Source organism: Homo sapiens, chromosome 9 (genome assembly GCF_000001405.40).
Source record: "Homo sapiens chromosome 9, GRCh38.p14 Primary Assembly".
Taxonomy (NCBI): Eukaryota; Metazoa; Chordata; class Mammalia; order Primates; family Hominidae; genus Homo; species Homo sapiens.
In genome coordinates this window covers 68,642,845-68,656,502 of record NC_000009.12, presented here as the reverse complement: position 1 = coordinate 68,656,502, position 13,658 = coordinate 68,642,845, and the positions used below count along the sequence as shown (strand labels likewise).

The 13,658-nt window shown below is 38.4% G+C and overlaps 1 long non-coding RNA gene across 1 annotated transcript in view, besides 2 other annotated features; it reads right to left on the bottom strand.

The window, feature by feature from the left end:
• Positions 3,049-3,148: a silencer, noted in NCBI's record as "silent region_19928". NCBI's record gives its function as "represses an Ori minimal core promoter by ATAC-STARR-seq in GM12878 lymphoblastoid cells {active_cell/tissue: GM12878}" and the evidence as "EXISTENCE:reporter gene assay evidence [ECO:0000049][PMID:35858748]".
• Positions 12,053-13,658, bottom strand: part of TMEM252-DT (TMEM252 divergent transcript) — a 103,426-nt gene continuing 101,820 nt past the window's right edge. The window contains exon 5 of the long non-coding RNA NR_187592.1: positions 12,053-12,910. This is a non-coding gene — a long non-coding RNA (TMEM252 divergent transcript). The remainder of the gene's footprint in view (positions 12,911-13,658) is intronic.
• Positions 12,514-12,593: an enhancer, noted in NCBI's record as "active region_28438". NCBI's record gives its function as "activates an Ori minimal core promoter by ATAC-STARR-seq in GM12878 lymphoblastoid cells {active_cell/tissue: GM12878}" and the evidence as "EXISTENCE:reporter gene assay evidence [ECO:0000049][PMID:35858748]".

Here is a 13,658-nt window from a genome sequence, read left to right as displayed (position 1 = left end):
CTTTCCCCATTTCTTACTCTCTGCATGAAGGTTAACTTGAGTGTCTGTTGTCAGGTGACAGCCATTGGTCCTCACTTCTTGGTTGGGTTGATGTAAACCATCAAAAATTCTAAGCATGGAGAATTAGATTTCTTTTCACCCTCCAGTCCAGTGCAAGATAACAATCCTGGGTGTGTGTGTCTGCATCTCTCTGGTATGTAGTTCCAAGTTCTACAAACTAGAGGGTGGGCAGGGTATTAGTATTAGTAGATCTGTTTGGCTCTTACTCTTAGTCACACCCTCTAACATAATTTATCATTAATAAAAGTGATAATTTGGTCTTCAGATCTGCGACTCTGTTGATGTTACAGTGGATTCAGAATTTAAGAGACAACAAGGAAGTTATTTATTTGGCTCTCTTACACTCCAACAAATTTCTGATTTTAATTTTACTAATTTGTGCTGTTTTGTATTATGTAGTCCCTTTTTTTTCTTTCTTTAGATTACTTGATGTTCCTTTCAGCTGCTTTTACTTATATTACTGTTCCAATGAGTTTTAAATTTTATTAATTATTTAATTTTAAATAATTATAACTTCCATTATAATTTCTTCTTTGACTCCTGAATTAATTACAGATCTGTGTTTGAAAGATTTTTTAAAATTTTATTTCTTAACAATAGCATATTATGAGGATGTGCTTTCTGATGACCATAAAAACCCCTACAATTCTAAAAGGATAAAGTTCTTTACAAGACATGAGCATTTAAGGAAAGATGAAGAAAACAACTGAAATATCTGGCTGTTAACATATCAACCTAGAATAACTTAAAGAAGCAATATCACTATTTTTCTAAGTCTGAATTTCCCCCTTTAAGTCTTACAACTTGTGCCCTATGTATATGATTACTTTAATATTCTTTAAATGGTATTTTCCTATCATGATATTCCTAATGTAATATTTTTACATTATTTTTAATCATTCTAATGTCTTAAACAAGACAACAAATTATGCTCGAGATATTTTAAGAATTCCTTGTGTGTACACATGTGCATTTCAACATAACCAGCATACATCAATATACCTATTTTTTTTTTTTTTAAACTGTGGGGCTGGGCATGGTGGCTCACAACGGTAATCTTAGTACTTTGGGAGGCTAGGGTGGGTGGATCACCTGAGGTCAGGAATTTGAGACCAGCCTGGCCAACATGGTGAAACCCTGTCTCTACTAAAAATACAAAAATTACCCAGGAGTCCCAGCTACTCAAGAGGTTGAGGCAGGAGAATCGCTTGAATCTGGGAGATGGAGATTGCAGTGAGCCAAGATTGCGCCACTGTACTCCATCCTGGGAGAGAGAGCAAGACTCTGTCTTTAAATAAATAAATAACATTTTAAAAAAATAAAATAAACTATGGTAGGAACGGCCTTTATTGGCTGCAGCAGGAAGTGCCAGAGGGGATACAGTGTCTGCAGACTAGATTGCTGCCCTCCAAAAAAAGGACGTATCTGCAGTTAATAATAATACCTTAATATTGTTAAATATCTTGTGTTTACATCTGATTGTATTGTATGTTTTTAACACTTTGAATTAGGAACCAAATACAATCTATTCATTGCAATTAGTTCATAGTTCTTCTAAATTTCTTTCGATCTATAAATTCCTCTTCCACATTTTTTTCCTTAAAACTTTTTGTTGAAGAATCTGATTCATTCTTTTAAATTCCCCACAATCTGGATTTTGCTGGTTGTATCCCTGTGATATTAACTCTTTTCCCTTGCCTTTTTATTTCCTGTAAGCCAATAGTTAATCTAGAGCCTTCAGTTTATATTTCATTTTGTTTTGTGTTTTGCAAGACTCCTCCACAGCTGGTGATGTGTGTTGATATAAGGAAGTATATAATGTCTGATTGTCTCTCTTTTTGTCACATTAGCAGCTATGGATGACCATTGTCTAGGTCCATTATTTCCTAAGGCATGTAAAATGATGACATTCTATCATTCCTTCTTCAGCTATTAGCTAAACACTTGTATAAGTTATTTCGCAAATATTTTTGTTTACTCTGAGTTGCAGTTCATACAGTAATGTTAGGATAAATTATGCATTATTTTTCTTTTTTTATACCAGATCTCAAAACAATATAGTTGCTCTATATGTCTATCATCGTACCCTGGCATCCTCCACTGTGATCACACAGGCTCTGTGCAGTATCAGTATGAAGTCATGGGTTTTACGCATTTGATCTATTTTAACCCATGTCAGTTATTATTCTTATTTGTGTTCAAATTGTCCCATCTTTGGCCAACGGGAGTTTTTCAGGATGGCTTCCACGTCATTTTGATATGACTTCATCGTCTTTGATAGTTCCTTGCTGCTCATATGACAAAATATCCCAGATTCATTTTAGATATTTTCTGAACAGATCTGGAATTAGCCTTGTATATCTTATTTCAGTGCAAAGTGATATTTTGCATTTAAAAAAGTGGCACTTATTGAGATAAAGTGTAGTTATTGTTTCTCAGTATTTTCAGTGACAGAGTTTCTCTGGTTTCTTTATCTTTGCCTTTGGTATTCTGCACTTATACTATGATGTGTCTAAGTGTCCTGCTTTGAATACTGCATCTTCCTACTCTCTATTCTGTCCTTCTGAAAGTCCTATTAAATGTATGTTAGACCTTTTCATTCTTTAAACACTGTTTTTTATCCTCATTTTAATATTTTTAATCTCTTTATTTCTCAGTGCTACATTCTAAGTAGTGTCTAGGATCTATATTCCAGTTGGTTCATGTTTTTTTCAGTTGCATTTTACTTGTACTTACCATTTTCCCAGGTTTTTAATTTTATAGATTACATTTAAATTTTTAGAAGTCCTTTTAGTTAATTTCCAATTCAGCCTGTTCAGTTTTCATAGTTGTTCTTTTCACATATTTTCATTTTTTCCTTTAAGTCTTACTCATTTTGAAAGTTTATTTATGGTCTCTAACAGATAGTTTGACCATTGGAAACCCCGGTGATCTCATCCTGCTGTGTCTCTCCAGCGACCTACCTGTCAGGACGGGGTATGACCCACCAGAACCACTTTGATTTTTATTTCTCAGCTTGGGACTTCTTAAGTCATATGAACTGTGTAAACTTAACACCCAAACCTATGTGAGGACATTCCTGTGGTCACAAATTCTTAGAGGAGATATTTCCCCCACACCAATACCTAGATTGAAACCAAGAAGTTTCCATATTGTTGCCCTGTGCGGATGGAAAAATTTACACCCTTTCCAGTGTCTTGGTTGCGTGCGGTGATTTCATTTTCAACTCTTTGTTTTGCAGGGGTTTCAGGTTGTTGAAACACAAGACTGTAAATGACTGAGACCCTCCCCCACCAAGTTTCCATGAGGTCAACTGATTTACTTATAACTCTAGTTGTCAATTCCCTCTTCATTTTTGGCCATTGAAATTTTCCTTGCTTATTTTTATTTACTTCTTTGCAAGCACTATCCATCTAAAAGGATGTTTTTGTATCTGAAATTTCTATGTGCTCTGTACCAAAAGGGTTTTTAGGCCATGTAATTTGGCGTATCACCAGATGCAGAAATCCAGTCTATGTTTTCATCTTTTCCAAAAACTTAATCTAAACTCATTGTAGTCTATATGGGCTAGTCAAAACACTAAGCTTTTCATGAGAAAAATATTGGTTTAGCAAGTGGCTCAGACATTCTGATTGACAGTTGATAGCATCAAAAACATGCTGATTCCTGTGGGGAAAATAATTAAAGGGATTCTTCAGAGTGAAAATGTTGGTTAATTACATTCCACAATCAGATGGACCCTCTCAAAACATTTATATGATTAATGGCACATCGATAGCCCACTTTAGCAGACACAGCTCCCAAATTGATCTCTTTGTAACTACCTTTGTTTTTAGTACAGTGATTCTGATTTTGTTATCACAGCAGGCCAGTTTCAATGATCAGAACCACAATGTTCTACCACTAATATAATATAGTGGCAGCTTATCCCCAATTTTTAGAAAACTTTTAGCTAATGAATAACAATTTTCTCAGTTATAAAAAAATGTCCCCATAATGTTGTCTTAATATTTGTGTACCCACAATTGCTTGTGGTCTGTTTAAAAATGAATGAATTAGTAGGAAACTTATAGTAACAGAAAAATTCATAAACTTGATTTGTTAAGGATATTGTATGTACACTTTTCTGTGAAGATGCAGAGATGTGCACAGAGTTTTTGTAATAGGTCTTTGTTTCCAGAAGTAAACCTGTCTATGACCCTGAGTGTTTCCATCTCTTCAAGATAGTTTCCTGTTTTCAAATCCACTAATCTCTCTCCAACCTCACAACTTTGTTAAGATTATTCTCTGAGAGAATTAGATATATCAATAGTCCATGGCCTTGTGTAAAGGAAATTATAATTTCTAGGTGTTCTGACCCCTGAGTAATGTAAGAAACATCACAGAATGAAGTTTTACAAATTTTGTTGTCACCAGCATATTATATTGCAAATAAGCATATATGATTGGAAGAATTTTGATAAAGTTATAGTGTTTTAAATATGCACCTGTAATGTTTAAAAGTTGTCCATCTATATGGTCCAGTTTCAAAGCAGTCTGTCTATCAAAGAAACCCAATTAGGTATCCAAAAAGTCATTGAAGAACTGAAGATATTTATTGAGAACACATACGAATACGTACCTCTCAGAGTTCCTCCTTTATCTTTCACTCACTTTCAATATACATTGCATCAACCCCCATATTTCTTTTTTCATCACTCCCCAAACCCCTCCCACAGCCCTAACCCAAGTTTCTCTCCTTTTCTTCAGGTTCTTAAATATTATATTTGCTGCATGACCAAAGGTCAAAGTTGCATCTATTTTTAGGTGATGAAATGATGACTATTGACTAACATTAGTAATCACTTTCTCCAACATTTCTGAAAAGGTTTCTATCTACTTTGTCATATTGCTTTGAAAATTAGTCCTTGAAAACCATAAAAAACATACTGAAGCCCTAAATAGAATGTTGCATTGTACAAACTCCTTCATAACCATGAGTCATTCCTCACAACAGTCCTGTGGGGTACGCCACATTCTTAATCATATTTCACAAATGGAGACAGTGAGGTAAAGAGAAAGCTGTGGCATAATGGGATCAACACAGATAAAGTGTACTGAGGGCCTCACATGAAATTCAAATAGTGTAGCTCCCATTTTGTAGATAAGAATCCTACTACAATGGGGATACACTTCTCACTCCATAATAGCAACCATCAGAGGCAAGAGGGATTATCATGGTAGCTTCAGTTCTCATCCCTCCATCTTTCTTAATAATTTTGCAGCATAAAAGTCCAACATGGTAGACCATCTGGCAAACTGGGACCTTCCTTAGATGGGGAAAGGAGAAGAAATGGGACAGTGGGGCCAGCATCCTCTTTGGTGTAAGACCTAGAAACACTTACATGCCTGATAATTTTCCCCCGACAGATTCACATGCACATATCTGAAAAGTATACCCACATGTTTGTAGTAAGAGCTGCATGAAGTTTTCTTTTTCTCCTCCTTTGAGAGACAGAGTCTTGCTCTGTTGCCCAGGCTGGAGTGCAATGGTGAGATCTCAGCTCACTGCAACCTCTGCCTCCCAGGTTCAAGCAATTCTCCTGCCTCAGCTTCCCAAGTAGCTGGGACTACAGGTGTGCATCACCACACCCAGCTAATTTTTGTATTTTTCAGTAGAGACAGGATTTCACTATATGTTGGCCAGGCTGCTCTTGAACTTCTGACCTCAGGTAATCCACCTGCCTCGGCCTCCCAAAGTGCTGGGATTACAGGCGTGAGTCACCGTGCCTGGCCTTCATGAAGTTTTCCTTGTCATTTAAACTCTCTGGGTATCTGTTTCCTCATATGTAAAAGGACCATGAAAAGTAGTGTTTATTTCCTAGAGTGGTCTTGAGGGTTAAATGAGATCATACTTGTAAAGCATTTAGGAATAGAGCATAGTACATGGCAAGGGCTGGAGGAATATTGTAGTTATTATTACTTAGTAGCAGTGGTCATCATACATGTGGTAGATAGAATTACTGTAAAAATACACCTTATACTAGCTTATAGGCAATACGCAATTCACCTTAAGCAGAGGCCTGTGATTAATGTAAGTAAATATTTGGATAGTAATGTTGGCAATGGGAAATGTAATAAAATTTTACACTTTCCTCTGTAAGAACTTCCTTATTCAAAACTGTGATAAAACAATACTTTTTGCCTATCTATTGAAACACCAGTATTATCATCTTTCTACCTAATTTAGTAACAACCAGCTTGTATCGAGTATTTACAATGCACTGGATACTCTGCTAAAAACTTAATAGTTTTACCTTCTTTAACTACAACAGTAACTGCAAAAGATAGGGGTTATTATAATTACCTTCAGTTTTTAGGTGAGGAGAGTGAGGCTTCAGAAAATTTCCTTAACAAGAATGATGAGGACATTTTTCAGCTGGGCGCGGTGGCTCATGCCTGTAATCCCAGCACTTTGGGAGGCCGAAGGGGACAGATCATCTGAGATTGGGAGTTTGAGACCAGCCTGACCAACATGGAAAAACCCTGTTTCTACTAAAAATACAAAATTAGCCAGGCATGGTGGCAGGCACCTGTAATCCCAGCTATTCAGGAGGCTGAGGCAAGAGAACTGCTTGAATCTGGGAGGCAGAAGTTGTGGTGAGTCGAGATTGTGCCATTGCACTCCAGCCTGGGCAACAAGAGCAAAACTCTGTTTAAAAAAAAAAAAAAAAAAAAAAGAATGAGGACATTTTTCTTTCTTTGTGTCTCTCTATTATCTATCCTAAAGATTTGTTGAATGGATGAAATGATAGTTAAACCTTACCAGTCTTTATTTTGGCCCTTAACCTTACATCCAAAACAGATTTCAAAATCAATTATGAAAACAGGCACAATCATATTTTAGGAATAAAACAATTTCCCCAAGCCATTTTAGGAAGAAAATGAGGATGAAAAGGTAAAACAACACAAGCATCTTGGTGGGACACAGCTGGGAGATACGCAGATTTTATGATTGGAAAGGGTTTCACAGGAGGGTGGATGGCTACGATCACAGAAGAAATCATCTCACCTTCCAAATCATCAGTAGGGATAAAGTGGAGCTGGAGATGCCATCCTGCTTTCTTCATGCTCTTTGTATTTCGAGGACTAGTGCTTTTTGGGCTGAGCTATTTGAGCTGCTGAGACAGAAACTGAAATGCAGGCTACCCATCAGCACACACAGCTGCTGCTATCATCCATAGTCTTGAGAGATGGGCAGGTTCAGAGGTCTGGGCAGGCCACACAACAACCAGGGCTTACCCACTAAGGTTAGATGACTTCTCTTCCTCATTACCCATAGGGTAATATGCAGTGGCTCAGTGGCTCTCAGGATAGTCACAACTCTACTGTGTTGCCCTTGGTAAGCTGGAAATTATACCCTTGTTGACATGCTCTGCAGGCTGCTGTTAAAAATGCCAAACAGCAAATTTATCCACTGCTAGGTTCTTAAAGAAACAGATTCTCTTTTCTTGAGGAGCCAATAAAACAGAGGTTCTCAAAGTGTGCCTGAACCAACAGCATTGACATCACCTGGGATCTTGTTAGAAATGCAAATCCTTTGACCCTATCCCAGACCTTCTGAATCAGAAACTCTAGGCCTCCTGAATCAGAGACCAGCAATCTGTGCTTTAACAAGACTTCCAGGTGATTCTGATGCATGCTTAAATTTCAGAACCACTTTGCTAAGGGATTAAGGTCAGGAGAATCAAATTGAATACAGAATACAATATCTGAGGGGCAAAGCAATGGTGATGTTGAATTTCTTTCCTAGCTGGTCTTTCCTTATTGCTTGTTGGAATATGTATTTTGGATGGCTATGGATCAGTTGGATAATTCTCAAAACTGTAATTTGCTAGTGAGGCTCAAGATTTAAATGAGAGAGAATGAGGTCAAAAACTCTGGTGACTACTTAAACAGATTACAAGGGACTGATTTTATGTTGAAATCCTTGTTTGAAAAAGATTTGTCACTATTTACATACCTTATATAGTTGTTGTAGATATGAAAATGGGATAATTTATATAAAGTTGTTTTTAAGCCATAAAACGTTATGCAAACATTAGTGTAAAGTTATGGAGTTTTGGTAGGAGAGTGGGTGAGGCAAGAGAGAATGAAAGGGCCTGATATAGGTTATGAAAAAAGGGACTTGAGGTCCCTATTCACTCATTTGACTATTTTTTCTTTTTTGCTTTTCTTTTTTTTTTTTTTGAGATAGTCTTGCTTTGTCGCTCAGGCTGGAGTGCAATGGCGTGATCTCAGCTCACTGCAACCTGCACCTCCTGGGTTCAAGTGATTCTCCCACCTCAGCCTCCTGAGTAGCTGGGACTACAGACGTGCACCACCATGCTCGGCTAATTTTTGTTTTTTCAGTAGAGACGGGGGTTTCACCATGTTGGCCAGGCTGGTCTCGAACTCCTGACCTCAGGTGATCTGCCCACCTTGGCCTCCCAAAGTGCTGGGATTACAGGTGTGAGCCACTGTGCCCAGCCCATTTGACTATTATTTAGTGGGCATAGGATATATACCAAGGACTGTGCGAAGTGCTGGGAATAGAATGTTGAACAAAAACAGACATGGCCCTTGCTTTCATAAAGCTTAAATCTAATAAAGGAGGCAGATATTTATCAAATAATGACATCAATAAATATCTAATTTCTAAACCTAAGGAAAATATTCTGAAGCAAAAGAATATAGTTCCATGACAGCACAGAACAAAGGAACCTATTCTAGATTGGTGGAAACGGGAGTGAAGAGGAAAAGAGGGAGGCTCAGGAGGACTTCCCTAAGAAAGTCCTGCTCTAACTGAAATCTGAAAGATGAGTAGAGGTAAGTTAGGTCAGGCTGGAGGATGAGGGGTTGGAGAGGAAAATTTATAGACTGAGAAAAGAGTGTATAAAGGCCCTGTGCAGAAATGCAGCATGGGGCCAGGTGTGCTGGCTCAAGCCTGTAATCCCAGCACTGTGGGATGGTGAGGCGGGTGGATCACTTGAGTTCAGGAGTTTGAGACCAGTCTGATCAACATGGTGAAACCCTGTCTGGACTAAACATACAAAAATTAGCTGGGTGTAGTGATGGGTGCCTGTAATCCCAGCTACTTGGGAGGCTGAGGCAGGAGAATTGCTTGAACCCGGGAGGTGGAGGTTGCTGTGGGCCGAGATCGCACCACTGCACTCCCACCTGGGCCACAGAACAAGATTCCATCTCAAATAAATAAATAAATAACATAAAAAGAAATGCAGCAAGGTGCATTCGAATTAAAATCAGGCCAATGTGGCTGTATTGAAGAGCATACAGGTGACAATGGGGCAAGAAGCAGCTCGGGAGGTACAGCAGAGACAAGACTATGTAGGGCCTTGCAAATCTTGTGTGTATCAATTAGAAACTGACTGCAACTCCCAGTGCCAGAAATCCAACTGGTGAATATAATATGTAAAGATTTTGTTCTCTGGCGTAGAAGCAGCCCAGAAGTAGAAAATCAAGTCTTGTAGCATGGTTTCCCAAGTCATCGGGACCCATGCCTCTTTTATCTTTCTGCCTTACCATTTCTGGTTCTAGCCTCCTTCAAGGTCTCAAGATGGAGGCTGGAGTGCCAGTCATCACAACCATATTTCAAACATGAAGAACCCAAAGGGCAAGGATAAAAGGACTTTCCTGGGTACTCTGTTTAACAACTTCTGCTTATACCGCACAGGTTATTTATTCCTCTCTGTAAAGGAAGTTAGGAATTATCTTTTTGTTTATTTGTGTCTGAGATATATTGCTGTCCCAATAACAGAAGATTTTTGGGAGGTAGAAGGAGAAAACAGATATTGTGGAAAGGCTGTCTTTGCAACACAGTGTTAAAAATTTTGATCATTTTCCTGTGATCCATAGGAAGTTATTGGCAAGTTTTAAGGAAGGACATGGTGGGACTGGCTGCAATGTGGAGAAAGGAATTGGGGCTGGGAAAGCAGAGTGAATGGAGAGAAAACTCAGGAGAATAAAGAGATGATGGCAGCTTAGATTGATGCTACAGTGACTATCCTATGGTGATGACTATGGAAATATTGGAATCAAGATTGTTTTGAGAGACATTTAAGAAATGAAAGAGATAGGTCCTAGTGATGAATTAAGTATGGTGAGTGAGGGAGAAGAGGGCATCAAGAATGATATATGCTGGATGGATAATGGTATCAATCATTGAGACAGAGAACAAAGGAAAAGGAGCAGTTTTGCTGAGGAAGATCATGAACTTGGTCTTAAGCAAATTGAAGAGGAATGCCTTCCAAATGGAGATGTGGTAAACAAATAATCGGGCTTCTGGGTCTGGAACATGGAGGTGTGGTCTGGGCTGGAGATGTAAGCTGGTATCACATAACTGAAATCATGATTGATAATGATTGTCAGGATAGAGTGGAGTATACAAAGTGAGAAGAGGGTCTAGGACTGAGACTTGGGGAACTTCAATATTTAATGGAAGGTAGAGGAGAAAGAGGCAGAAATGGAGACAAAACAGGAGCAGTCAGAGACTTGGAAGGAAAACCAAGATGTAGTATCAGAGGCAACAAAGTCCAAGCAAGAGGGATTGTGCCCATTGTCAGCAAGAGGGTCAATGAGATAAAGACTGAAAAAGTTTTTTGGATTTAGCAACATGGAGACCACTAGAGATCTTTGTGAGGGCGACTTGGTGGAATATTTGGGCTAGAAACCAGATTGTAATGTGCTAAAGAGTGAGGCAGATTTGAAAAAATGGCAGCAGTGAGTACATAATTTGTTAAAAGACTGGCTCTGAAGGAAAAGAGAGAGATACAGAAGTGGCAAGAGGGAAAACATGGCCCTTTCCATATTATTTTGTAATATGGAAAGGCCTAGAGTGACCTAGGGCTTCATTACTTGTGGGAAGGACCCAGCTGAGAGGAGAGAAGGGGTAACTGATACATGGAAAGTTTCTGGAAAGGTGGGAGGATATGGGAAAGGTGGGAGGATAAGCACAGGCCGTGAGGTGACCCTAATGAGGTCTAAGCGATGGTATAGTGAGAAGTGCAGGAGAGATAAGGATTTGAAGTCAGAAAGTAGGATATTGCAGTTCAGGATAACAATTTTTCATCTCACACTTTCCAAAGTACTAATATACTATCTTGGGGGAAATGAAGTCATACAAGTGTATAATTTTTAGGAAATGTGCAGATCACGTTAAGGTTGTCACAAATGTTAAGCACTTCCCTTTCATTTTCTCTCTCTCGGGTATCTAATTCGATGAGACCTCAATAAAATAATGTAGTAGGAGTTAGGATTTACTAAGCCTTCTTGAGAGCACGTAATCCTTCCAACATCCCTGTGAAGTAGATGCTATTATAGTCTCAATAGTAGAGATGAGGAAATTGAGCTTTAGAGGGGTTAAGTAACTGGTCTGAGGTCACTTGCTATTCTGTGGTAACAGGATTCACAGGATTCAAAGCTTTATCTGAGGCATAAGTTCTGGTGATCTATTGCACAGTGTAGTGACTAGAACAATAATGGATTGTATATTTCAAAATTGCTGAAAGACTAGATTTTAAATGTTCTCATCACAAAAAAATGAGTATGTAAGGTAATGTGTATGGTTAATTAGCCTGATTTGATCATTCCACAATGTATGCATGTATTGAAACATCACATTGTACCACATAAGTATATACAATTATTATTTGTCAATTTAAAGTAAAATTAAAACATTTTTAGAAAGCTTTATCTGCCTACTGCAGGATTCTTTGCTGCCGTGCTGGGCTACATGCCTCATCAGAAAAGACGCTGATAGGCAAATCCACTCAGACATAAACTAGTCTGCAAGGGAGGCAGGACTTCCCTGAGGTAAGATTAAAACCTGTGTTTGTGGCTTGGAGGTTATCACAGCAACATCCCTTAGTAGAAGGTTATCTCTTCTTAAAGTATCACAGTGTGAATGAAACTTATTATAAAATAGGGGAGAAAAGCAAGAGAAATGAAACAAGAAATACCACCTCAAAACGCAACAAGTTTATTTAAGGTTAATCTACGCAGAGAGACAATTGTCCATAGAACCTTAAAGTACTCAGGCAAATATGTAGCAGGTGGGATTTCCAAGTTGCTGCTCTGGGATTTCCAACGTTTTACTGTGCAGCCTGAGGGCAAGTTTCTTTGTTGACTGTGTACTTCTACTTCACCACAGAGTACTTCATTTTGATCTGCGCTATGATATTTTTCAGAGAGTTGCTTATTTCAGGGAAATGCCATATACAACGAAGAGACGTCCGGAAATACTTTACATCAGATCTGGGCAGTTTCCCTGAGACAAAATGGCTGCCCACAGGGTTTTCACAGGGGCGGGTCTTTGGTCATTTTTAATTGACATCAGTGAAATTTGACCCGTGGCTAGAGGTCACCAGGATGTGTGCTTGAGTTTACTTCCCCTTCTTTAAGCTCCAGTGACTCCACCCAGCAAAACAAGGGATGGAATGATTGACATCTGTCTGCCAAGGGCTCTCCTGGGAACTTCAGGAGCATTCTATTTCTAGGAAGAAAGCAAGACTCTAGGGTCGGGATTTTCCATTACTGCTTCTGGAAATCTAAGAAATGCTTTTTAGTCTCTCTTCTTCCCTTCTTCTATTCCACCGAAAATAAAAACTTTCCCCCAAACCTATAAACCGTGAAAGTAAAGAGATAACACAAACAGACATTTTTGTTGACGTTCCTTCTTCTTTCACTTCAGCTTCTTCGTTAGAAGCAATTCGTGGCCTTTGAAGGTTGAATCAGGAAAGTTAAAGGACTGTAATTATTCAAAGTGTACTTTTCTTCTGGGGATGCTTGGGGGTTGACTTTGGGGTTCCACGGCCTGGAAATTTAAGGCAATAAAGAGCAAATGACAGTGACTGCCTCATGAAAAGTTTGCTTTCTCAATGCTGTGACAGGAGCTATAGAATAAAAAAAATCCTTGCATGTCATTTATTCATAATCTTATGAAGTAGATTATCTTTGCCCTATTTATGTTTCTCACTTTAGATTATTGGGGAACAGCCTGAATCCAGGGAGGGTGATGTTTCTGGCTTCTTGCCTTATAACTAACTTTTTAGCAACTCCCAGTTTCTTGATTTCACTAATCTTTCCCAAGCCTTAAAATCTCTTTATAAGATATTGAACTTTAACTGACAGCAAGTATATTTGAAGATAGGGTTGGTAGAAGAAAAACAGAACTACACCGTAATTATAACTATATATGCATATTAACAATGGCCTACATATATTTTCCAGCCATTGGGCTAAGCTCCTTATAGGAATTACCTCTCTATAATTACCTTATAGAATTCTATAATTACCTTATAGAATTTACAGTAATCCTATAAGGTTGGTACTATTATCATCTCTTTATTTTCTGCTGAGGAAACTGAGATTTAGAATGATTGAACAGCCATTGCAAAATTGTAACTGAGACGGTGAAAGAGATCTGACCTAACCAACTCCATCTCGCTTCTAACCTCCAAGCTGTCCTTGTTCATTCCTGGGCATAGGCCGAACTAACTTTGGGAGAAACAGTTTATAGTTTAAAACAAAGATGATGACAGCCCTTTCCCAAAACAAACCTC